This window comes from Homo sapiens, chromosome 17 (genome assembly GCF_000001405.40).
Source record: "Homo sapiens chromosome 17, GRCh38.p14 Primary Assembly".
Lineage (NCBI taxonomy): Eukaryota > Metazoa > Chordata > Mammalia > Primates > Hominidae > Homo > Homo sapiens.
In genome coordinates, this window is record NC_000017.11 from 82651848 (window position 1) to 82676445 (window position 24598).

The 24598-nt window shown below is 54.4% G+C and overlaps 1 protein-coding gene and 1 non-coding gene across 6 annotated transcripts in view, besides 2 other annotated features; both read right to left on the reverse strand.

Moving 5' to 3' along the window:
• Window positions 3126-24598, reverse strand: part of RAB40B (RAB40B, member RAS oncogene family) — a 43726-nt gene continuing 22253 nt past the window's right edge. Inside the window, exons 1-6 of one of the 5 annotated variants that reach the window (XM_006722271.4) lie at window positions 18215-18251; window positions 12649-12709; window positions 9140-9200; window positions 7733-7810; window positions 6644-6866; window positions 4333-6287 (exon numbers count right to left, since the gene is read on the reverse strand). In XM_006722271.4, coding sequence (XP_006722334.1) covers window positions 6016-6287; window positions 6644-6866; window positions 7733-7810; window positions 9140-9200; window positions 12649-12709; window positions 18215-18236 — 717 coding nt within the window. In that variant the 5' untranslated portion in view covers window positions 18237-18251 and the 3' untranslated portion in view covers window positions 4333-6015. Of the gene's footprint in view, window positions 6288-6643; window positions 6867-7732; window positions 7811-9139; window positions 10897-12648; window positions 12710-15993; window positions 16354-18214; window positions 18252-24598 lie in introns of those variants that run through there. The other 4 variants (XM_011523528.3, NM_006822.3, XM_017024042.2 and 1 more) reach the window with 4 other exon arrangements.
• Window positions 12495-12995: an enhancer, noted in NCBI's record as "H3K4me1 hESC enhancer chr17:80622218-80622718 (GRCh37/hg19 assembly coordinates)". NCBI's record gives its function as "activates a minimal SCP1, AML or CMV promoter by ChIP-STARR-seq in naive and primed H9 embryonic stem cells {active_cell/tissue: H9 hESC(naive and primed)}" and the evidence as "EXISTENCE:reporter gene assay evidence [ECO:0000049][PMID:30033119]".
• On the reverse strand, window positions 16386-16460 carry MIR4525 (microRNA 4525). Its single transcript, NR_039751.1, has one exon. It is a non-coding gene; the product is annotated as a microRNA 4525 (primary transcript).
• Window positions 16935-17114: an enhancer, noted in NCBI's record as "active region_13014". NCBI's record gives its function as "activates an Ori minimal core promoter by ATAC-STARR-seq in GM12878 lymphoblastoid cells {active_cell/tissue: GM12878}" and the evidence as "EXISTENCE:reporter gene assay evidence [ECO:0000049][PMID:35858748]".

Sequence of the window (24598 nt, forward strand, 5' to 3'; positions counted from 1 at the left end):
CTGCAACAGGGGAAGGGTGTGTGGTTGACCCTGAAGAACAGCCCCCAACGACACCCCCATCCCCGTGCTCAGAGCTTGTGCATGTGTTGCTGTATATGGCAGCAGGGACTTTGCAGATGTGACTACCTCAAGGACCTTGAGATGGGGAGGTTAACCTGGATGATCCAGGCGGAATCACGAGGGTCCTTACAGGAAAGAGGGAAGGGGGTCGCTGAGAGAGAGGGCTGTAGTGTGACCACAGAGGCAGACTGGAGGGACGCAGCCGGGAGCCCAGGAATGCTGCTGTCTAGAGGCTCAGGAGGCCGGAGATTGACTCTCCCTGGAGATTCCAGAAGGGACCAGCCCTACAGACACCTTTATTTTAGCCCATTCCTCCAGAACTGTAAGAAAATAAATGTGTGTTCCTTGAAGTCACTAACTTTGTGATAGTTTGTATTAGACTGAAGAATGGCCCTCAAAGATACCAGATTGTCATCTCTGGAACCTTTAAATGTGTTATTCCTGGCTGGGCACAGTGACTCACACCTGTAATCCCAGCACTTTGGGAGGCTGGGGTGGGTGGATCATGAGGTCAGGAGTTCAAGACCAGCCTGACCAACATGGCAAAAACCTGTCTCTGCTAAAAATACAAAAATTAGCCGGGCGTGGTGGCAGACGGACACCTGTAATCCCAGCTACTTGGGAGGCTAAGGCAGGAGAATCGCTTGAACCCGGAAGGCAGAGGTTGCAGTGAGCAGAGATCGGGCCATTGCACTCCAGCCTCGGCGAGAGACAGACTCCGTCTCAAAAAAAAAAATTAATAAATAAAGAAGGTATTCTCTTACTTTGGAAAAAGGGTCTCTGCAGATTTGATAAAGAGGCCCTGAGACAGGAAGACTGTCCCGAATTGTCTGGATGTCCCCAAGTGCCATCACATGCTTCTTCAGGCAGAGGAAGGATTGACCAACAGAAAACACCACATGGGGACGGAGACGGAGACTGCAGTGATGTGGCCACAGGCCAAGGAATGCCCGGGGCCCCCAGAAGCTGGAAGAGGCCGGAAGGACCCTGCCAGAGCCTCCAGAGGGTACCACGCCTTGATCTCAGCCCAGTGATGCTGATTTTGGACTTGGACTCCAGAACAGTGACGGAACACACTTCTGTTGTTTCAGGCCCCCGGGCTGTGGTAGTTTATTACAGCAACAGTAACAGACCTTGAAACCCGCGCCGAGGGCTTGGCAGGTAAGACTCTACTCCTTCTGCTTCAGCTGCTGTGTGTTGGGCACACAGGTGTTGATATTCGTAGCAGTACTACTGTTCATTCAAACAGACACACATGAACTGTTACATGAAGGATCCATTTCACAAATAGAACCATTAGAGGACCTTTTAAGAAACCCATCTCCCTTATCCCCTTTCTGTAGTGGAACGTGGAGCAATGTTAAGATTGCTGGACACTCTGGAACCTTTAATCCTCACGCCTGGAATCCCAGCACTTTGGGAGGCTGAGGTGGGAGGATCACTTGAGCCCAGGAGTTTGAGACCAGCCTGGGCAACTTATGAAGACCCTGTTGCCAAAAAAAAAAAAAAAAAAAAAAAAAGCCAGGTGTGATGGTGCACACCTGCAGTCAGCTACTCCGGAGGGCGAGGTGGGAGGACCACTGAGCCCAGGATTCAAGGCTGCAGTGAGCTGTGATTGTGCCGCTGCACTCCAGCCTGAGCAACAGAGTGAGACCCTGTCTCTAAAAGAAAGAAAGGAAAACATTCAAGGCAAGGAATCAAGAAACCAGCAGATGGTGGCGATTGGCTTTGAGCAACACACAGAGTCTTCCTCCAGCTGAACTGGAAGGTCAGCGTCTGCCCGGTCAAAGGCATGGAGACCGGTATGCCTGCCTCTCACCGTGGCCCACACGGCGATCTTCCTGTCACCTCAAAGGGCACCAAGGAAGAGCAAGGCAGCCCCTGGGCACCAGCGAGGCTCTGGAAGGCTCCTGTTGGACCTGGCCCCACGGACAAGGCCGCCCTGTGACGAGGGGGCAGGACAAGAAAGAGCAAGGCAGCCCCTGAGCATGCACAGCGAGGCCCTGGGAGGCTCCTGTTGGACCTGGCCCTGCGGACAAGGCCGCCCTGTGACGAGGGGGCAGGACAAGAGCAGGGTCCCCTCTGCACACAGGTGGGAGCAGTGCCCACCTCCCCGACGACCAACACTCCCCATCCTGCCGGATGTGAGTGACTGCCACTTTTTACCAATGACGCCTTGCACCTTGCTGCACTTTTCTCACCTTCTAGATAAGAATTATTAAGATAGTAAGTCCCGGAGTCACCCCTGCTTCCTGACAGCATCGAACAGGGTGCAGCGGTTGCCGTGAATATTCCCTAAAACCTCCACAAGGCTGCCCAAATCCCGCCCATCCTCCCTGACTCCCCAGCACCCTCTCGATGGTCGGAGGCTTGGTGCTGCAGCAAGTCAGGGGCGTTCACGGTGGCCTTTGGCTAACAGCCTTGACAGCACCTCTGGGCTGCTGGGAAGTAGCCGGTCACCTCACCTAGAAGAGGGTGAAGGCTGGAGCAACAGAACTGCTTTGGGACTAGGTGGAGTTTGGAATCCCTCTCCACAGTGGCTCAGGGCCTCTGTGCTCCAGCGGGGTTTGCTGTCATCATGGGAATGTAGAGGAGAAAAACCAGTATCAGCTCGAGTTCAGCACTGCGGCAGGGTAGGGACAGTGGTTTTATTTTTATTTGAGATGGAGCCTCACTCTGTCACTCAGGCTGGAGTGCAGTGGTGCAATCTCAGCTGACTGCAACCTCCACCTCCCAGGTCCAAGCAATTTTCATGCCTCAGCCTCCTTAGTAGCTGGGACTATAGACGTGCACCACCATGCCCGGCTAGTGGTTTGTATTTTTAGTAGAGACGGGGTTTCATCATGTTGCCCAGGCTGGTCTTGAACTCCTAAGCTCAGGCAATCCGCCTGCCTCAGCCTCCCAAAGTGTTAGGATTACAGACATGAGCCACCGCGCCCTGCCAGGACAGTGGTTTTAAAAGGCAGGTGCCAGCCTTTCTTAAGAGAAGAAAGTGTGTAAGAATCTGTAGATCTAAAGCAACAGGCCACACCTCTGAACATGACAAGAAAATGACAAAGTTTCTCTAAGGTTTAATTTATATTTATGTTTTTTGTATATTCACCACCCAAACACACAGTCTTCTACTTAGTCCGGTCTGTATTAGGTTTCGTCTGTTTTTGTTCTGCCTTGGTTTGCTGTAGCACTTTCTGCCGTGAGCGTAACTCACTTCCTTGTAGGAGTTTCCTGAGGCTGCCGTAACAATCGCCACAAACCTGGTGACTTAAATAACAAATATTTATTTTCTCGTAGCTCTGGAAGCCGGAAGTCCAAAACCAATAACTTGGCAGGGCTGTGCTCCCTCTGGGAGATCTCGGGGAGCCTCCTTGCTACATGTTCCGCTTCTGGGGACTTCTGGTGGTGTTTCCCTGGAGGGCCAAGGCCTCCGGGCGGCCCGTGCATTCGGTGAACACCTCCAAAGAGCTCTGAGTCACAAAGCCTTGGGAAACTTTATTTTATTCTTTCTAGGACATTATCAGTAGTCCCGAGGAGACATCAATTACAAAACAAGAAAAAGGAAGGAAGAGAAAAATACAGGTTTGGCCTGGTTTAATGTTGCAATGGGAGGATCCATTTCCTTACCCTTCACCATCAGCGAGCTGGGAACGGAGGGAGAAGAGGCCCCTCAACGTGGGTTTCTTCAACGTGGACTCTCCTTTCTGTGCATCTCAGTGTCCTTGTGTTTGCAGCTGGGAGGTCGGCCCTGTCGTTCTCACCCCACCTGTGGCACAGCAGAGAGAAGGGTGCACAGGTCTTTGCAGCGTGCCTGCACGAGGCTGGCCACCCTCTCCAGACACTGTCCCCTCAGGGTTCACCTTCTGCCCACAGACCACACCCCTGCCTCCCCGTGGACTTTGTCCCCGTGGCTGCCGTGCCCAGGTGGCCAGACACCCCCAAGCCTGGGTCCACCCGCAGGGACCAGTGCTCCTCTCTCCTGTCTGGGCCTCGGTTCCACCATCTCTGAATACAGGCTTTGCCCCTGATTCTAGGGTCCCTTAAATTTCTTTTTTTTTTTTTTTTTTAGATGGAGTTTCACTTGTCGCCCAGGCTGGGGTGCAGTGGTACGATCTCGGCTCACTGCAACCCCTGCCTCCCAGGTTCAAGTGATTCTCCTGCTTCAGCCTCCTGAGTAGCTGGGATTACAGGTGTGCGCTGCCATGCCAAGCCAATTTTTGTAATTTTATTAGAGACGGGGTTTCATCACGTTGGCCAGACTGGTCTTGAACTCCTGACCTCTGATCCGGCTGCCTCGGCCTCCTGAAGTGCTGGGATTACAGGTGTGAGCCATCACACCCAGCTGGGTCCCTTAAGTTTCTAAGAATCTACAGATCATCAGCAGGAACTAGGAACATCTGGGTATTTTCTCGCTTCGTTTTTTTGGTTTAGTCCCTCATTTGCGACCCCCAGCCACAGAGAAACGTTCAACAGTGTGACCAGGGAAGAGAGCGGCCCTGGAGGTCTTTGCGGTCAGCCCTGCTCTGAGGCAGTCGGGGTCAGGGGCTACATCTTCATGCGGAATTCCTGACAGCCCCTCGGAGCTCCTCACCGAGGCTCAGGAGCACGGCTCTGATTTCTCAGACAGGCACATGCCTGGGTGCCAGCTTTTAACTCTCCGCTCTCTCCTCCTCTGCACTTCTGTTCCGGAAAAGGAATCCTTTCTCAACAGGCGACAACAGTTCAAGGATTCAGCCTTGTTGCCAGTGTCGTGTATTAGCTCCGATATGTGATGTCTACACCAGGCAGTGGCGCAGTGAAGTAAAGGGCTATAAGAAATACACAAAATCTGGCCGGGCGCAGTGGCTCACGCCTGTAATCCCAGCACTTTGGGAGGCCAAGGTGGGTGGATCACCTGAGGTTAGGAGTTCAACACCAGCCTGACCAACATGGTGAAACCCCATCTCTACTAAAAATACAAAAATTAGCCGGGCGTGGTGGTGCACCTCTGTAATCCCAGCTACTCGGGAGGCTGAGGCAGGAGAATCGCTTGAACCCGGGAGGCGGAGGTTGTGGTGAGCCCAGATCGTGCCATTGTACTCCACCCTGGGCAACAAGAGCGAAACTCTGTCTCAAAAATAAATAAATAAATAAATACAAAATTCGAAAGAACCGGTCGCCAACTCTACCAAGAGAGAAACAACTATACATTTTATTGTTGAGAAACATTTTCCTAAATAAGTGTTTTCACTTCATTCTTTACTGAAACAGCTCTTCCTTGACATGTCGAAACTGTGCTGGCTGTGTTCAACATAACTAGAGGTATCTTTGGCATTTTCTTCCCTTAGCTTCATAACTTGTAGAATATCTTGTACAAAAAACTGTAGATTTACAGAAAAATATGCATATAAATCACTTATTAATCCCAAAATGTAGTAAATAACTAGCAAAAACTTTATCAAATCCATTTCATACACAAACTGGACAGATCAGTTGCACATAACCTCTACATCTGCAGCGTTTTATAAATTGGCGCTTTGACATTGAAAAGGAGGTTTACAAAAAGACCCCTCTCGTAATATCAGTGACTCTAAATTATCCCGCTGCCATTGCTTCTCAAATTCCATTGAATTTATACTAATCACTCCAATATCACCGTTCTTACAAAAGCAGTTATTTTAAGGAAAAAGTTGCAGTGCAATCATGATAAAGTAACATTCAGAATTTCATGTTACCAAGAGTCGAGCAGAGTACTAATTTTCCCTTTACAAACACACATCGAAAACAAGAGCTTCATGCACATCCACGTAGAAATTCGAAGTCCGACGGGGTAGTGTGTTTCCATCACACGGAAGGCGTCGCACACATTCGCAAGCAGCATTCGCCGAGAGGAACCGGGATCTGAGATGCATCCACCAGCTGCCGGGGGTAACGCCGAGCTTCTCCTGGAGAGATTCCGCCGTGTTTCTTTCAGTGCCTTCCTTAAGAAATTTTGCAGCTGTTTCTGGTGCAGTTTTTGGGGGGGCTCTGGGGGGGGCGGACGAGCTTCACTTTGCGGAGGCTGCTCCTTTTGTGGGTGGAGCTGGTGGTGAGGGAGTAGGAACCGCCGTGCATCATCCTGGCATTCAGGCCGTTGGCCATCGAGAAGGACTTGAGGTGGCTTCTTAAGGCAATGGGGAGCGGGAGCTTGTCCACCAGGTGCACCGGCGTGCAGGACACGACCGCCCGGCAGCAGAGGTCTTGCAAGCTCAGCACTTGGGAGAGAAAAGATAAACCTTGCTTAGTGGATGTCCCCACCTGGGCTGGGAATGAGGGGTGGTGCCCACACCTGTTCTCCCGCCCTCCCAAGGCTCGGACGCCCGTGGCCCTGGCTTGTACATGCAGCAAGCCCTGCCGCGACGTCCCCTCTGCCCACGTACAGATCCCAGGAGCTCCCTCATGAGCTTTCTGACAAAGCTGTAGTCATTACTTCTCTCAAATGCCTTGCTCTGAGAACGGACACAGTGGCCTTGAGACGGGTCCCGGGAGGCAGACACTTATCCAGGGGGCCGCTGACCCACCTCGGCATCTGGAGGGCAGAGGTGGCCCCCGGAATAGCCCCTGGGCCTACCCTTGCTCGGCCGCCAGAGCCGGTCCATCCCATGCCGCAGCAGCACGATCCTGGCCAGCTCCGTGAACGACTCTGTGATGTTGAAATTGCACAGAGGGCTGACCTCAAAGAAGGTCACGCCCAGGCGCTCGGCGTAGGCCTGGGCCTGCTCCGTGGGCACCTGCCGCTTGAACGCCAGGTGCAGGCGGTTCCCCACCAGGATCTTGGGGACTCCGGGGGCATGCTAGCGGGCAGGAGAAAGGCGAGGAGCATGGGTTACTTCAGTGAGATTTTGTTGTCGTCGTAATGTGGGTGCTCTGGGTCGAGGAACCCCCCACGAGTTCATGTCCACCCAGAACCTCAGCATGGGACCTCGTTTGGAAAGACCGTCTTTGCAGACGTAAATAGTTACGGTGCGGCCGCACTGAATTAGGGCCCTCATCTAATGACTGGTGTCCTTGGGAGAAGAGAAGACACAGACACTCGGAGGAGGCCATGTTACGCGAAGGCAGAGGCTGGAGCGGTGCAGCCACAAGCCAGGGAGGGCCCAGGGTTGCTGGCACCGCCGAGAGCTGGGAGAGGCGGCTGTAGGGAAGTGGCCCTGCCGACACCTTGGTTTTGGGCTCTGGCCTCCAGAACCGTGAGAGAATGCATTTCTGTTGTTCAGGACGCCCAGGTTGTGGTCGTCGGTTCTAGCAGCCCCGGGACACTCATACAGTGGGCTTAGTGTCGACCACGCCATGTCACCATTGCCAGGCGGGCTGGTCTGCGTGCCAGCAGGCACAAGCGCCGGTCACTGCTGGTCAGCCCAGCCCGACCACAGCAGGGAGTGAAGCAGGCCAAACCTGACCCCACGCATAGCCGAGGTACGCCGTGGACGCTCGTTTCGTCTGGACCAGCTTCCTGAGCTTTCGTGATTGTAGCTATCACCAAAGCCCTATCCAGTGTTGTGCCGAGGTGAGGCACCCTCCTTCCTGCTGGAGCGCCATCCGGTGCCCTGGCCTGTGATCCATGGGTACCCATGAGCCCTGGAGGGCCCGGCCCTAATTCCTGGCCTGACGTCCTCCCAAGCCTACAGGGATCTTGGGCAGTGGCATTTCTACAACATACCTCATCGATCTCCTTAATCCATCGATCAATGCCGTCAAAAGACCAGCGGTTCGCAATGTCATAGACCAGGATCACACCCTGGGGGAGAGGTCACAGGCTCAGCACGCAGAACACAGATGCAGGCACAGCTGTGGCCATGCACGCAAAGACATACAACTAAATAACCACTTTCCTTATTTTAACACAAAGTACATAATTTTGATTTATCAACTGAATGTAGCAGTTTTATGATCATTTTCAGTGATATTTCATAAGCTCAGTGATAAACCCTCAAATGTCACGGTGATCTGGGGACTAGAACTCACACCCACGAGCCACTCCAGGAACACAGGATGCAGGGGCACCGCAGTAATCGCCACCTCTCGAGGAGTGTGGCCCACTCACCTGGATGGATTGCACGCATACACGTGCACATACACATGGAGCTCACGCACACACAGGCACTTGTGCACAGATGCACGCACACACAGTGCACGTACCTGCACACATGTTGCATACACACACGCAGGCACTCATGCACAGACACAGTGCACATACCTGCACACGTGTACACACGTGTACTCATGCACAGACGCACACAGTGCATACCTGCACACATGTTGCATACACATACACATAGGCACTCATGCACAGATGCACACACAGTGCACACACGCAGTTCATGTGTGCACATGCATGCACATAAACAGGCAAGCACACACGTACACATTACACACACAAGCAGGCACTCATGCACAGACTCATACACAGGGCACGTACCTGCACGCACGTGTACACACACACACGCACAGGCACTCATGCACAGATGCACGCATACACAGGGCATGTACCTTCACACACGTGTAAACACACGCACAGGCACTCATGCAGATGCACGCATACACAGTGCAAGTACCTGCACACGTGTACACATACACGCACATGCAGGCACTCATGCACAGATGCATACACAGTGCACATACCTACACACACGTGTACACACACACACGCACAGGCACTCATGCCCAGATGCACACATACACTGCACATACCTGCACACACGTGCACACACACACGCACAGGCACTCATGCAGACGTATGCACAGTGCACGTACCTGCACACACATGTACACACACACACACACACAGGCACTCATGCACAGATGCACGCATACACAGTGCACGTACCTGCACACACGTGTACATGCACACACAGTCCCGTAAATGCACGCTTACATCCGTAATACTGATGAAGTCTTTCAAACAACCAACCACTCTACAGCACGTTTTTAGACTCTCAGCACCAATTTATACGTAAGCTTAACCGCCTTGTCCTCCAATCATCCATTAAAGGATGGTAAGTTAAGCATTGTAAATGTTATTATTCAAAGTTGGTTTGATCTCCCAGCTCGGGGGATGCTGTGTTACCTGTGCGCCCCGGGAGTAGGAGCGGAATATGGTACAAAATCTTCCCTGGCCTGAAGTATCCCTGGAAAAGATGTTGGAGACCATTAAGAAGAAACCAGTGCTTCTTCCTGACAACAGGTTCTGGAACTTCAGAGCCACAGCAAGTGCACCACACACCCGCCAGTCAGCAGCCACCACGCCGCCAGCGTGAGACCCCAACAAAACTTTCCAATGTCCCTGAAGGGATCCGGGTGTTGGGATGTCCTCCCAGGCTCATGCTCTTCTCTGTCATTTAAAAAGTCAAACTAGAAAAAATAGTGACGGTTTTAACATAATTCTCAGATATTTAAATACATTCAATGTAGGCTTTAAAAAACTTGTTGAATCTGAAGATAAATCTATGCAGTAAGGAGTGTGGGTCTACACCAGGGGAGAGAGGCCGGTGGGATCCCTGCTCTTCCAGTTCAACTGTAAGAGCTCACATGGAGTCAGCCCTTCCAGTGTGCCCCTAAGAGGGGAGGGATACAGGGAACTGCCTGGCGTGAGCTGCAGGCAGGGCTTGAGTTCTCAGATGACGGCACACGCAGCAGGTACTGGGACCCACAAAGACCAGAACGGAGCTCCAAGAAACAAATGAAAGGCCGGGCTTGGCGGCTCACACCGATAATCCCAGCGCTTTGGGAGACCGAGGCAGGCGGATCACCCGAGGTCAGGAGTTGGAGACCAGCCTGGCCAACATAGTGAAACCCCGTCTCTACTAAAAATACAAAAATTAGCTGGACATGGTGGTGTGCTCCTGTAGTCCCAGCTACTCGGAAGGCTGAGGCAGGAGAATTGTTTGAGCCCGGCAGGCGGAGGTTGCAGTGAGCTGATATCGTGCCACTGCACTCCAGCCTGGGAGACAGAGTGAGACTCTGTCTCAGAAAAAAAAAAAAAAAAAAAAAGGAAGAAACAAATGAGGGTGGAAAGGGTGCTCCCCAGGGATCAGTTCCCAGAGGAGGCGGCCCTGGGACAGCCAGCGCTGTTTCCCGGAGTCTGCACATGCAACGAACACACCTACATCAATGGGAGATTCCCCAGTGGGCCAGGGGCTGGCCCCGCACACGAGACACAACCTCACGGATGAGCGGTGGGACGCGGCATGGTTTTGCTGTTTGTGTCACATGCACCTGTGGTCGGTGACCACCCTCAGCACGAGAGAGAAGGGCCTGGGGCTCCAGAGGGGACCAGCGACACTGGCCATTGCCAAAGCCTAGGAGTGAGTGCCTCATTTCCTGAGAAGCAAATTGATCTAGAATTCAAGCCTCAGCAGGACCTCAGGTGCTCAGGCTTTGCACACAGCGGGAGCTGCCCAAAAGCTATGGTCGAGGAGGCAGCGGGCCAGGTCAATCTGCCAGCTTCGCAGGGAGGCCGAAGGGCCAGCACGTGCTGTCAGAGTGCCCCATCGTGAAGTGGGAGCACTCCCTCCTCAGCTGGGACAACGTGCCGGCCTCCTGGGCCGCTGCCACCCTGAAGGAGCAGAGCAGAGCCCAACCCCAGCCCCAGTGGGTGTGGGGAGGGAGGTGAGGGCAGGTGGGGGCAGGCAGAAGACCCAGTTGTGGGCACCAGGAAGGACCACACTCTGGGGTCCACACTCCGGGGTCCACGGTGGGAGTGTGACCTTGCTCAGACGACAGTGTGGACAGAGCTGGCACCGGCACCACAGGAGAGCAGCCTCAGGGTCCTGCTGGGGCCTGGGGGGATTCTGAGCTTGGCAGAAGCCCCCTGGGATCTCACTCCTGAGGTGAGAGGGAGAAAAGTGTGAGGGTGACTGTTCGGCCCACTGGGCAGCTGGGGTCAGGGAGGCGTTCGCTAAGGTGAGCAGCCAGACCCGGGGTGGAGCTGGGAGAGGGCACGCGCCAGCCCTGATGCAAGCAGATCTTTAGGAAGGCACTGAGCTCAGGGGCAGGCGTGGGGCCGAGTGCGGCCTTTGGGTGGCCTTGGCCCCTCAGGAAGGAGTGGTCTCGGGGAGGGAGGGAGAGACTTGAGAACAAGGTCCTGGACCTGCAGGGCTCAGGGCCAGGAGGAGGCAGCAAAGGCCCAGCTGGCGGAGGGTGGGGAGCAGGACAGGGGCTGACGGCAACCCCAACGCCAGCCCAGCGAGGGCATGGCCCCGGGGGAGTGGGGACCTGAGAGCAGACTGGGCGGGAGGCCTGAAGCTGTGCAGCAGGAAGGGTCGGGGCGCTTGGGGACACTGTGGAGACAGGCTCCCCAGGACTGGCCACTACTAGACGGGGCAGGCGTAGGAAGGGGACAGGTAAGAGAAGGGGGTCCCAGCTGCTGGAGGCACACGTGGCTCGGGGGTGGCCCAGCAGGCAGGAAGGGCCAGGAGGCTCAGGCGAGGGTCACCCAGGAGTGGCAGCAGTGCAGGAGGGATGCCCAAGAGGGAGGCAGCCCCAGGATGAGGCACCGCAGGAGCCCCCCATCCCCACCGCCCCAGAGCTGGAACCGCAGGAGCTCCCCCCATCCCAAGCCAAGAGCGGGTGGAGGGAGAGGTGTTCCAAGCTGGCCCCAAGGTGGGGGTGCTGGGGGAGGGAGAGGTGCCCCGGGCTTGCCCCAAGGTGAGGAGCTGGGGTTCTCACAGCTGAGAGAGCAGAGCCAGCAGCCCCAGGCTGGCCAGCAAGTCCTCACCTCCCCACGTCTGGGTCCTCCACCCGCAGGCCCGACCACAGCCCCGCTGGCACCAGGACGCTCCGAGCTCCCTGCCGGGTGCTCAGTGGCATCACTGAGCCAGGCGTGGGGGACCCAGGAGCCCCGGGCTGCCTCAACCACGCTGCATCGGTCCCCTCTTGGCATCTTCCCACAGACACCAGGCCACAGGTTCTGATCCCAAAAGCCGATTCCCAGCCACAGCGCTATGTCCGTTCTGGGGTCCCCTACTCTGGATGACGGGGGCCCAGACAACCGGACCACCACCTCCTTCAGAGAAGCCCTGGTGCAGCTGGGGCTGGGGGTGCTCCCCGGGGCGCTGTGCCGACGGTGGTGGTGGGAGGGTGTTCCCGGGGGCGCTGTGCCAACGGTGGTGGGGGAAGGGTGTTCCCGGGGGTGCTGTGCCGACGGTGGTGGGGGGAGGGTGCTCCCCGGGGTGCTGTGCCGATGTTGGTGGGGGGAGGGTGCTCCCTGGGGTGCTGTGCCGATGGTGGTGGTGGGAGGGTGTTCCCCGGGGGCGCTGTGCCGACGGTGGTGGGGGAAGGGTGCTCCCTGGGGTGCTGGGCAGATGGTGGTGGGGGGAGCTTGCTCCCTGGGGTGCTGGGCCGATGGTGGTGGGGGGAGGGTGCTCCCCGGGGTGCTGTGCTGATGGTGGTGGGGCTGGTGGTGCTCCCCGGGGTGCTGTGCCGACGGTGGTGGTGGGAGGGTGTTCCCGGGGGCGCTGTGCCGATGGTGGTGGGGGATGGGTGCTCCCCGGGGCACTGTGCTGACAGGGGGTGCTATGCCAGCCAGGGGGGTTACTCCCTGGGGGTGCGGGACGCTCGCACCTCCTCCAGACTCACCAGAGCTGCAGCTTCACCCGCCGCCCGTCCAGCAGGATGGTGGTCGTCTTGTAGTCGATGCCTGCGGAAGGGTTAGAGACGGCTTAGGCCTGAGGCTGCAGCTAACAGGACGCTGGAAGTCTCACGTTCAGGGAAGAAAAGGGTTTCTCATCAGTGCAACTTCCAGGTTTACAAGGCAGGCGGATGGGACCCCCTCCCTGTGTCTGCCCAAGCTCACAGGGGCCCTGCCTGCGCCCTCCCGCACCCGGGCCCCTCCTGTCCTCAGCCGCCTTGGCCTCTGTGGGGGTCAGGCTCGCATCACCCTGGCCCAGGGGGCTCCCCGACAGGCACTGCAGGGCCTACATGTGACCTGGAGGCCGGTGGGTTTGCCGCGGGGCTGTGGCCGCTGGGTGTGCCCCCGTCTGGGCTGGTCCTTCCCTCCCCACCTCCTCCCCAAGCCTGCAGGCCTGAGAGCTCCGACTCAGCTCTGTTTCCAAGGGAACGGGGCTAAGGCAGCGGCTCTGCAGACACTGAGACTGCGTCCCCCAGTATCACACTAGGAAAGTACAGTAAAGACAGACGTGACGCTGCGTGGGATGCCCGCTCTCAGCTGTGTACATGTGCATGTGAACCACGCATGTGCAGGGACACGGGACTGCACACCCGTCCCAGCCACCTCTGGGGTGCAGATTACAGGTAGGCTGGAACCTTCTTTCCACATTTCTATTTTTTCAAGTTAAAAACAAACAAACAAAAAAAAAACCCGAGAATGCCTTTCTTCTTCTTTTTTTTTTTTGAGACAGAGTTTCTCTCTGTCGCCCTGGCTGGAGTGCAGTGGCGTGATCACAGCTCACTGCAGCCTCCACAGCCCAGGCTCAAGTGATCCTCCCACCTCAGTCCCCTGAGTAGCCGGGACTACGGGCATGTGCCACTAGGGCCAGATAATTTTTGTATTTTTTTGTAGAGACGGGGTTTCGCTATGTTTCCCAGGCTGGTCTCAAACGCCTAAGTTCACACAATCTGCCCGGCTCAGCCTCCCAAAGTGCTGGCATTACAGGCATAAGCCACCATGCTGGAACACTTCTTCTAAAATAAAAAGCTACAATTAAGGGCTGGATGCGGTGGCTGACGCCTGTCATCCCAGCACTTTGGGAGGCTGAGGCGGGTGGATCACTTGAGGTCAGGAATTCAAGACCAGCCTGACCAATATGATGAAACCCCATCTCTACTAAAAATTCAAAAATTAGCCGGGTGTGGTGGCGGGCTCCTGGAATCCTAGCTAGTAGGGAGGCTGAGGCAGGAGAATTGCTTGAACCCGGGAGGCGGAGGTTGCAGTGAACTGAGATTGTGCCACTGTGCTCCAGCCTGGGCGACAGAGGGAGACTCTGTATCAAAACAAACAACAAGAACAACAACAAAAAAAAAAAAAAAAAAAAAAAACTACACTTAAAAAAAATCTTTTTTGAGACAGGGTCTCCCCCTCGCCCAGGCTCTAGTACAGTAGCACAATCACAGCTGACTGCAGCCTCTACCTCCTGGGCTCATAGGCACACCACTGCACCTGCCACCACACCTGCCACCGCACCTGCCACCGCACCTGCCACCACACCTGCCACCGCACCTGCCACCACACCTGCCACCGCACCTGGCTAATTGACAGGGCATTGCTGTGTTGCCCAGGCTGGTCAACCTCCTGGACTCAAGTGATCCTCCCACTTCAGCCTCCCAAAGTGCTGGGATTACAGGCATGAACCACCATGCCTGGCCACAATACATTTTTTTTTTTTGAGATGGAATTTCGCTCTTGTTGCCCAGGCTGGAGTGCAGTGGTGCAATCTTGGCTCACTGCAACCTCGGCCTCCTGAGTTCAAGTGATTCTCCTGCCTCAGCCTCCTGAGTAGCTGGAATTACAGGCATACACCGCCACGTCCAGCTAATTTTTGTATTTTTAGTAGAGATGGGGTTTCATCATATCAGTCAGGCTGGTCTTGAACTCCTGACTTCAGGTGATCCACTTGTCTCGGCCTCCCAAAGTGCTGGGATTACAGGCATGAGCTGCTGCTCCCGGCCAATAAATATTTTTAAAGGGAAAAATATGTTTCCCCGCCCCCATCACCCCCCAGACACCAGTGTTCTGCTTCTTTAGGAAACATCTCCTGTGTTCACTTCTAGCGCTTCCGGATGAGCACCAGGTCTGTCATTGAGAACATGGAAAGAGAGGGTTTGAGTTAAGGGGCTGGAGAATGCCGGGTAGGAGCACTGCCTTCCTAAAACCAGGTACAATGACACGTACAATCACAGGAACCCAAACTGCTTAGTAACAAGACATGACCAGCCTTTGTGGGATTTGCTTGATTTATTTCATGTATAGGATTTACTTGACAGTATCTCTCAAAGCACTAAACCTACAAGAGACAAGCCCTGGCCTCACTCTCGGCTGTGATCGGATGTTGAGTGCTTTGACAAGTATGGCTGAATAGGGAATCAGAATTCTAAAGGGAAGCGCGCCGCTGAGAGGCCGAGGGGAGAAGCAGCGCCGAGGCTCGCACCAGACCTCACCCTGGAGACCGTCGTGGAGCACACGGCCTCTGCAGCTCTCCTTCCAGAGAAGCCCACGATGTAGCCAGTGAGTGCCCAGAAACAGGCTCCTCTAAAAATGCGAGGCTGCGGAGGCCACGGTTCTCAAGCAGCTTCTGCCCCCTCGAAGGGTCTAGAACCCTTGGACTTGGCCACAAGCCCCCCTGCATCCCAGGAGGCAGTGTGCCGAGTTCCTGGTCTCCTGTCGGGCAGAGCGAGGTGTGCAGTGGCGGTGCCACCGGTGGCCTCCCACTTGGCTTGGACAGCTGGTCGCCCACATCTTCAGGCAGGCCTGGGCGTTGCAGCAGCTCTGGGCCTCTGTCCTCCACTTTCCACTGATGCAGCCATGAGCACGTGCATGGCACACCTGCCTGATCTGAGCACACCTGTGCAGCGCCTTCCATGAGATCCCGAGCACCCCTCCCTCCCACAGCTGCTGTGTCCAGCCTGTCCCCTGCCCTCTGCTTCCTCCTCCGGGCCCTGCCCCCTTCCTGGACTCCAGAGGCTCTTTCTGTGGTGCCACCAGAGCCCCAGAGACATGGAGTCCAGGCTTCCCGCATCCTCCTCTGTCTCCTGCTAAACTCCACACTCTGTCCACAGAGACTGCCCATCACGCCACCAGGTAGATTAGACCAAGCAACACCAGAGCAAACTCCCCCCGTCAGAGGAGAGTGATTCAGAGGACAAAAGATACAGCAGCACTGAGAACGCCCGAAGCACCCGCTTTGCAGACGCCACCTGCCCCGTGATGAGGCTCAGACAGAGCGGCCAAGCAGTCCCCTGACCCACCCAGTACGAGGCTTTCCTGAGCTGGCCAAACGTTTGCCACCGAGCCCAGCAGGCACGCTGAGTGCACCGTCTGTCTCTCTCTTCTTGGCATGGGCGCTGACGGGGCACTGATGGGGCCTTTGGGATGTTGCTCTTCCGGCTGGAAACCTCTGTGGCTGCTGAATTATTGTCCTGCATCCAGGAAGAATGAGGTACCCAGACAAGTGGAGGGTGAGCGAGACGAGGAGGAGCTTTACTGAGTGTTAGAACAGCTCAGGGGAGACCCACAGTGGGTGGCTTCTCTCTGCAGGCAGGTCGTCCTGACAAGTGTTCAGCTCTCAGCAGACAGGGTAGCTCTCCGCAGCTGGTCATCCCGACGTCCGCGTTGCTCTGAGTCTGGGGTTTTTGTGGTCTTCAGGGTGGGGAAGTGCACGCTGATTGGTCCACAGGCAGCCCACCCCAACCAGCATGCACATCCCCCCTCTGACAAAAGCACCGAGTCCTCCTTCCAGTCTGCAGGACTGGCAGCCCGGGCCCCAGGCCCCCTTGAAGCTTCAAGGTGTGGCTTCACCAGGGACCTGCCCCCTTCCACCCAGAAGTCTGTCTGCCTCCCACTGCTGTTCATGGCACCCAGCTTGTTCATGCCAAGGGGCGCCTGCAGGCCAGCACTGAGCCACCCTCAGCCCTCCCTCAGCTTCCCTCCCATGTTCAACAGCGCCCAGTCCCGAGGGGGCTGAGGTGGCAAGGGCTGGTGTGTCCGTGCTGCCCCAAGTGTGGACCCACCCGGATGGTCTGCAGCAGCACCTGGGCTCAGCCCCAACTGTGCTCCACGACTGGAGCGGGCGTGGGGAGTGAGGAGAGGCCAGGCATTTGGAGCAGGCACTTCTAAGCCTGCAGGGGGCAGGGGTGGCCTTCCCAGGCCTCCAAGAGCACAGAGACGCCCGCGTCTAGAGCTGCCCCAGGGCAGCGGGCCGCGGCACGCAGGGAAGGCGGAGCTGCTGCCTGATCCGTGGATCGAGAGGCCCAGCCATGCCTCCGCTGCAGCCGGCATCTTGGCAGCAGCCACTCTAGATGGGCCACTGCTACCATCAGCATCTTAGCACCAGGAGCTTGACCTCACCACAGTGGGGCACGCGGCGTAGCCTCCATTGCTGTCAGACCAAAACCACACTGCTGTGGTTTTCCCAGGTGACCAAGTGAGTATCAAGGAAACAGTCCTTTTACAGAAAGGAAAATAGCCAGGCACGGTGGCTCACGCCTGTAATCCCAGTTCTTTGGGAGGTTAAGGTGAGAGGATCGCTTGAGCCCAGGAATTCGAAACCAGCCTGGGCAACATGGTGAGACCTCATCTCTACAAAAAATTTAAAAATTAGGGCCTGGGCGCGGTGGCTCACGCCTGTAATCCCAGCACTTTGGGAGGCCGAGCGGGGTGGATCACCTGAGGTCAGGAGTTCGAGAGCAGCCTGACCAACATGGAGAAACCTTGTCTCTGCTAAAAATACGAAATTAGCCGGGCGTGGTGGCGGGTGCCTGTAATCCCAGCTACTCAGGAGGCTGAGGCAGGAGAATTGCTTGAACCTGGGAGGTGGAGGTTGTGGTGAGCCGAGATCACACCATTTCACTCCAGCCTGGGCAACAAGAGCGAAACTCTGTCTCAAAAAAATAAAAATAAAAAATAAAAAAATTGGCCAATCATGGTGGTGCACACCTGTCGTCCCAGCTTCTCAGGAGGCTGAGGTGGAAGGATCTCTTGAACCCGGGAGTTGGAGACTGCAGTCAACTATGATCGTGCCACTGCACTCCAGCCTGGGTGACAGAGTGAGACTCTGTCTCTAAAAAAAAATGTAAAAGGAGACAAAAACACTTTTCTGGAGCCTTCCAACTAGATAGTTCTACTAGCCCCAGCGCGGGAGCTTCAGGCCCTGTGAAATTACGCTTTGAGCGACGACCAAAAATCTCTTCACAGTCCTTTAAAACCCTACTAAGCTCTCGGGAAGGCACCATCATGTGCCAAGTCCTGCAGCCGTCAGCAATGAACACACTGAGCGTGAAACACAAACAATAAATTAAAAAAGAACATACATATTTGCTCCATAATAGCAATCCTCAAAGAGAATTTTGGAAATATTTATTTTCCCTTGGCAGGCACGAGGCAATGAACGAATACACTTGGGAATCTATTTTCGAATGCGGAGATAACTCCAGCTTTGATATGTCTGTCTCCAGACGAAGGGACACTCACCCCCACGGGCTGAGAGGCTCATATTTGTCTTTCCGGAGATTAATCCACTGCCTGAGCTTGGCTGGGTCCTCTGACTTAGAAAGTATCCTCTTGACCTGTCCTTGAGGGCCAACAATCTTTTTTTTTTTTTTTTTTTTTTTTTGAGACAGAGTCTCGCTCTCTCACCCAGCCTGGAGTGCAGTGACGTGATCTCGCTCACTGCAACCTCCGCCCACCGGGTTCAAGCAATTCTCGTGCCTCAGCGTCCCGTGTAGCTGGAATTACAGGCACACGCCAGCAAGCCAAGCTAATTTGTGTACTTTTAGTAGACACGGGGTTTTACCATGTTATCCAGGTTGGTTGCGAACTCCTGACCTCAGGTAATCCACCTGCCTTGGCCTCCCAAAGTGCTAGGATTATAGGCATGAGCCACCACGCCCAGCCAAGGGCCAAACAACTTTAAAATGTGTTCATAAATGTAAAAGAATTCCTGATTTTTTTTTTTTTTTTTTGAGACGGAGTCTTACTCTGTCGCCCAGGCTGGAGTGCAGTGGCGCGATCTCAGCTCATTGTAACCTCCGCCTCCCGGGTTCAAGGGATTCTCCTGTCTCAGCCTCCTGAGTAGCTGGGATTATAGGCGCCCACCACCACGCCCGGCTCATTTTTGTATTTTTAGTAGAGACTGGGTTTTACCATATTGGCCAGGCTGGTCTCCAACTCCTGACCTTGTAATCTGCACGCCTTGGCCTCCCAAAATGCTGGGATTACAGGTGTGAGGTACCGCGCCCGGCTTCCTGATGGTCTTTTTAAGCGCCCTACGAGTTTCAAAACCATCTTTCGTTTCTGTTTTCATGGAGTCATGGATGCTCACAGTCTGAAGTGCTGTCACGATCCACGATGTTGGACCCTGGCCCACCCGAACCCCTGTCTCCCTTCCCCATTTTAATCCTTTAAAATAACTTCTTTTGCTATGCATCTCCAGATTGATGAAGAACATACTTACATTCCTACTTCCTGACATTTCAGTTTTAGGCATCCACTGACTTTCCACTACAGAAGATGAAAATGTAGCTCTCGGTCACTGACACACCCCACCCCTGTAACTCCAACACACACAGTCACACACATCCTGTACTCACTGACACACCCCACCCCCGTAACTCTAACACACACTCACACGCTCCCTGTACTCACTGACACACCCCAACCCTGTAACCCTAACACACACAGTCACACATCCTGTACTCACTGACACACTTCACCCCGTAACTCTAACACACTCACACGCTCTCTGTACTGACACACCTCACCCCTGTAACTCTAACACACACACTCTCACACACATCCTGTACTCACTGACACACTTCACCCTGTAACTCTAACACACACACGCTCCCTGTACTAACTGACACACCCCACCCCTGTAACTCTAACACACACTCACATGCTCCCTGTACTCACTGACACACCCCACCCCTGTAACTCTAACACACACACTCACACGCTCCCTGTACTCACTGACACACCCCACCCCTGTAACTCTAACACACACTCACATGCTCCCTGTACCCACTGACACAGCTCACCCCGTAACTCTAACACACACACTCACACCCTGTACTCACTGACACACCCCACCCCGTCACTCTAAAACACACACACTCACACACCCTGTACCCACTGACACACCCCACCCCTGTAACTCTAACACACACTCACATGCTCCCTGTACCCACTGACACAGCTCACCCCGTAACTCTAACACACACACTCACACCCTGTACTCACTGACACACCCCACCCCGTCACTCTAAAACACACACACTCACACACCCTGTACCCACTGACACACCCCACCCCTGTAACTCTAACACACACTCACATGCTCCCTGTACCCACTGACACAGCTCACCCTGTAACTCTAACACACACACTCACCCACTGACACAGCTCACCCCTGTAACTCTAACACACACACACGCTCCCTGTACTCACTGACACACCCCACCCCTGTAACTCTAACACACACACATGCTCCCTGTACTCACTGACACACCCCACCCCTGTAACTCTAACACACACACTCACACGCTCCCTGTACCCACTGACACAGCTCACCCCTGTAACTCTAACACACACTCACATGCTCCCTGTACTCACTGACACACCCCACCCCTGTAACTCTAACACACACACTCACACGCTCCCTGTACTCACTGACACACCCCACCCCGTAACTCTAACACACAAACTCACACGCTCCCTGTACTGACACACCCCACCCCTGTAACTCTAACACACACACTCACACGCTCCCTGTACCCACTGACACACCTCACCCCTGTAACTCTAACACACACACTCACACGCTCCCTGTACAGTTTTGTTGCTTTTTAAGCTAGATGGATATTCCATTCTACACTGTCATAACCAGGTGCTATGGTTTGAATGTGTCCGCTAAACTTCACGTTAGAAAGGTAAACCTCCAGTTTGTATGTTGATTGGAGGTGGGGCCTTTGCCAAGTAATTAGGATTAGGTAGGGTCAGCAGGGTGGGGCCCTGATGATGGTACTGGTGGCCTTACAAGGAGAGGAAGACACCTGAGCTGACGGGCTTGCGCGATGCCCTCTGCCAGGTTATGACGCAGCAGGAGGCCCTCCCCAGATGCAGCCCCTCAACCTTGGACTTCCCAGCCTCCAGAACTGTAAGAAATGCATTTATTTTCTTTATAAATTACCCAGTTTGTGGTATTCTGTTACAGCAACAGAAAATGACACCAGGTAGACGCCATCCACAGCTGAACCACCATATGGTATACAATGTTTATTTTTCCTTCATGTACGAATTTTTGTTTCTACTGGAGTTAAAAATTGCCTCATTGTACCAGGCGTGATGGTTCATGCCTGTAATCCCAGCACTTTGGGAGGTCAAGGCAGGTGGATCATCTGAGGTCAGGAGTTTGAGAGCAGCCTGACCAACATGGTGAAACCTCATCTCTACTAAAAATACAAAAACTAGCCAGGCATGGTGGTGGGCGCCTGTAGTCCCAGATACTTGGGAGGCTGAGGCAGGAGAATCGCTTGAACCCGGCAGGCGGAGGTTGCAGTGAGCTGAGATCGTGCAACTGCACTCCAGCCTGGGTGATGGAGTGAGACTCTTGTCTCAAAAAAAAAATTGCCTCATGTTTACTTGTTGTTTACTCATTGTTTACTTGTTCAGTTTTCTCTGCATTTATTACTAATTCATCACTGTAATTTTCCCCAACTATCTAAATCTGCTCTCGGTACCTGCAAACATTCAGGAATTTCACTTTCTTTGGGGCATCTTTCCAGACCTTCTGTCCTGCTCCCATCTGGACTGGGAGGACTGTTGCCCTGGGGCCCCCACTCCCTTACTGCTGGATTCCATCCTTCCCTCTCTTAAGCTGACTCCTCTTTTCAATTCCTGAGAAAGGTGCATGGAAGAAGGTAGTATCTGAGACTTTGCACGTCTGAAAATGTCTTTAGGCTGCCCTCACTCTTCCTTGTGTTTGGACAGGCATACAATTGAGGGAGAAGATGCTTTTCCCTTAAACACGTTCAGTCATTCCAGAGTTCCTTTTGAGATCGGCCGTAAACTCATTCTTGACCCTCTGAATGCAACCTGGTTTTCCTCCTGGTGGGCATGGAGGCGCTTCTCTGAAACTGCACACCTTGTGGGCCTTGCTGTAGGGATCTTCGTGGCCAGGCTGACCACTCCATGGGCCTTTCAATCTGGAGACACAAATCTCAATTTTGGGGAACTTTCTTGGATAATTTGTTCTCTCCTTCTGGGATGTGATTAATCAGATACTGGGCCTCCTGAGCCTGTTTCCCACCTTTCTTGTCTGATTTTGCATCTCTCTCTCTTTTTCCCAGCATTCTGGGAATTCATCTCATTTTAACTTTTATCCCTTCTTTGAAATTATTGTTTTCAATGTCCAAGATCTTTCTTATTTTGTGACTATCAACACTGGACAAACTAGAAAACGCAACAACCTGGCCAGGCGCGGTGGCTCGCGCCTGTAATCCCAGCACTTTGGGAGGCCGAGGCGGGCGGATCACCTGAGGTCAGGAGTTTGAGACCAGCCTGGCCAACATGGTCAAAGCCCAACTCTACTAAAAATACAAAATTAGCCGGGTGTGGTGGCGGGTGCCTGTAATCCCAGCCACTCAGGAGGCTGAGGCAGGAGAGTCACTGAGGCTGGGAGGCGGAGGTTGCAGTGAGCCAAGATCGCGCCATTGCACTCCAGCCTGGGCAAAAAAGAGTGAAACTCCGTCTCAAAAGAAAAGACCAGGCGTGGTGGTTCACGCCTGTAACCCCAGCACTTTGGGAGGCCAAGGTGGGCGGATCATGAGGTCAGGAGTTCGAGACCATCCTGGCTAACAGGGTGAAACCCCGTCTCTAGTAAAAATACAAAAAAAAAAAAAATTAGCCGGGTGTGGTGGCGGGCACCTGTAGTCCCAGCTACTCGGGAGGCTGAGGCAGGAGAATGGCGTGAACCCAGGAGGCGGAGCTTGCAGTGAGCCGAGATCGCGCCACTGCACTCCAGCCTGGGCGACAGAGCAAGACTCGTCTTAAAAAAAAAAAAAAAGAAAAGAAAAGAAAAGAAAAAGCAACCTAAAACACCTGGGGAATGACTGACTGAACGGGGGAGGGGCCTCCTTGTCACCTGCGTCACTCTGGCATCGCAGGCAACGTTCGTATGGTTTGGAGTTGCTGCCGGCCAGCTTCCTCACCAGGTGGGAAGAACGAACCCCAGAATGAACCTAACACAGAAGAAAGCAGGGCCAGGGTGTGTGCAGGGAGTAGGCAGAGGAGAAAGAACAACACGAGATAATCCTGACGGCATCGTTCAGGCACCAGAATCCAGCCACGCCTGAAACTACACCAGCCCCTCAACCTGCCGGCTGTGTGGGGCACCACATTCCTCTGTGCTGAAGCTATTTTGAGTTAATTTTCTTGTTTGCACCAAAATGTCTGGTAGAAAACCCACAAAGCACAATGACTGGAGAGAGAGAGAGAAAACATCTGACACCCCCTAAACTGGGAAAAGCTACAAAGGATGCATTTTCACATCTTCCCCAAGCAAAGTACAATGACCTCCACATCCCGGAATTTCACTAACAATAAACAAGAACTGGAAATAAAATCGAACTCAGTGATAATGATTTCATTATTCACCATCATGACCAAAACTGGACTCAGTGTCTTCTTCAGCTGGCAGTTCCCATTAGCACAGCCCGGATGCATAACCCACACCCACAACCTGCCCTGGCAAATGACCAGCTTTGAAAGGACAATGACAGCCGCCTGTCTGACGTGGTCTCCACCAAGCGCTGGCTTCCTTCACAGCAGCACTTGGCCCTTCTCCCGAATCTATTCTGCTCCCGTGGATGGCACTCCCTTTACCCCATACTTCAGAACTGGGGGTGGGGCAGGGTAGGGTAGTACCTTAGCCAGTGGGGTTGCTATAATGAAAATACCATAAGCTAGGCAGCTCCTAAACAACAGAAACTTGTCATCACAGTTCTGGAGGCTGGAAGTTCTAGATCAAGGTCCAGGCAGAGCCAGTGTCTGACGAGGGCTGCATCCTGGTTCATGGAGGTGTCTTCTCCCCATGTCCTCCCCTAGCTGGAGGGGCGAGGGAGCTCTTGGATGCTTCACTCATCCCATCCACAAAGCCCCACGTGACCTAATCATCTTCCAATAGCCCCATCTTCTAACACCATCACCTTGGGGTTAGGTTTCAGCACCCGAATTTGGGGGGGTCACAAACATTCACTCTCTTGCAGGCGGGTGGGGAGATAAAACCTTAAAAAACAGTGCCCTCCATCTGCTACGTGGGTCCTTCTCACCAGGGGGGAGAGGTGGCAACAGTGACGACCTGAAGCCCCTGGTACTCTGAGTCTCCTGGTACGGGACGGTGAGGACCCCACAGGGCTGGTAAAGCACAGACGCTGCAGCCTGGGGCCTGGGATCAAATCCAGTCCCAACACCAATGTCTTCGTCCATCTCCCCCGGGTCTCCGTTTCCCTGGCTATGAATGGGGAACCGACCGCCTCGTGGGACGCACTCACCACAGCTCCTCAAAATGTGTGCACCTGCTGCCAGCAGTCCACGTCAGCTCAGCAAAGGCTCCAACTCCTCCCCAAACCTCTGTGGTCACACACAGTGAGGGCACCCCTCACCTTCAACAGCATCTCCCCCACACACAGTGAGGGCACCCCTCACCTTCAACAGCCTCTCCCTCCACACAGTGAGGGCACCCCTCACCTTCAACAGCCTCCCCTCACCCCACACAGTGAGGGCACCCCTCACCTTCAACAGCATCTCCTCACCCACAGAGTGAGGGCACCCCTCACCTTCAACAGCCTCTCCCCCCCC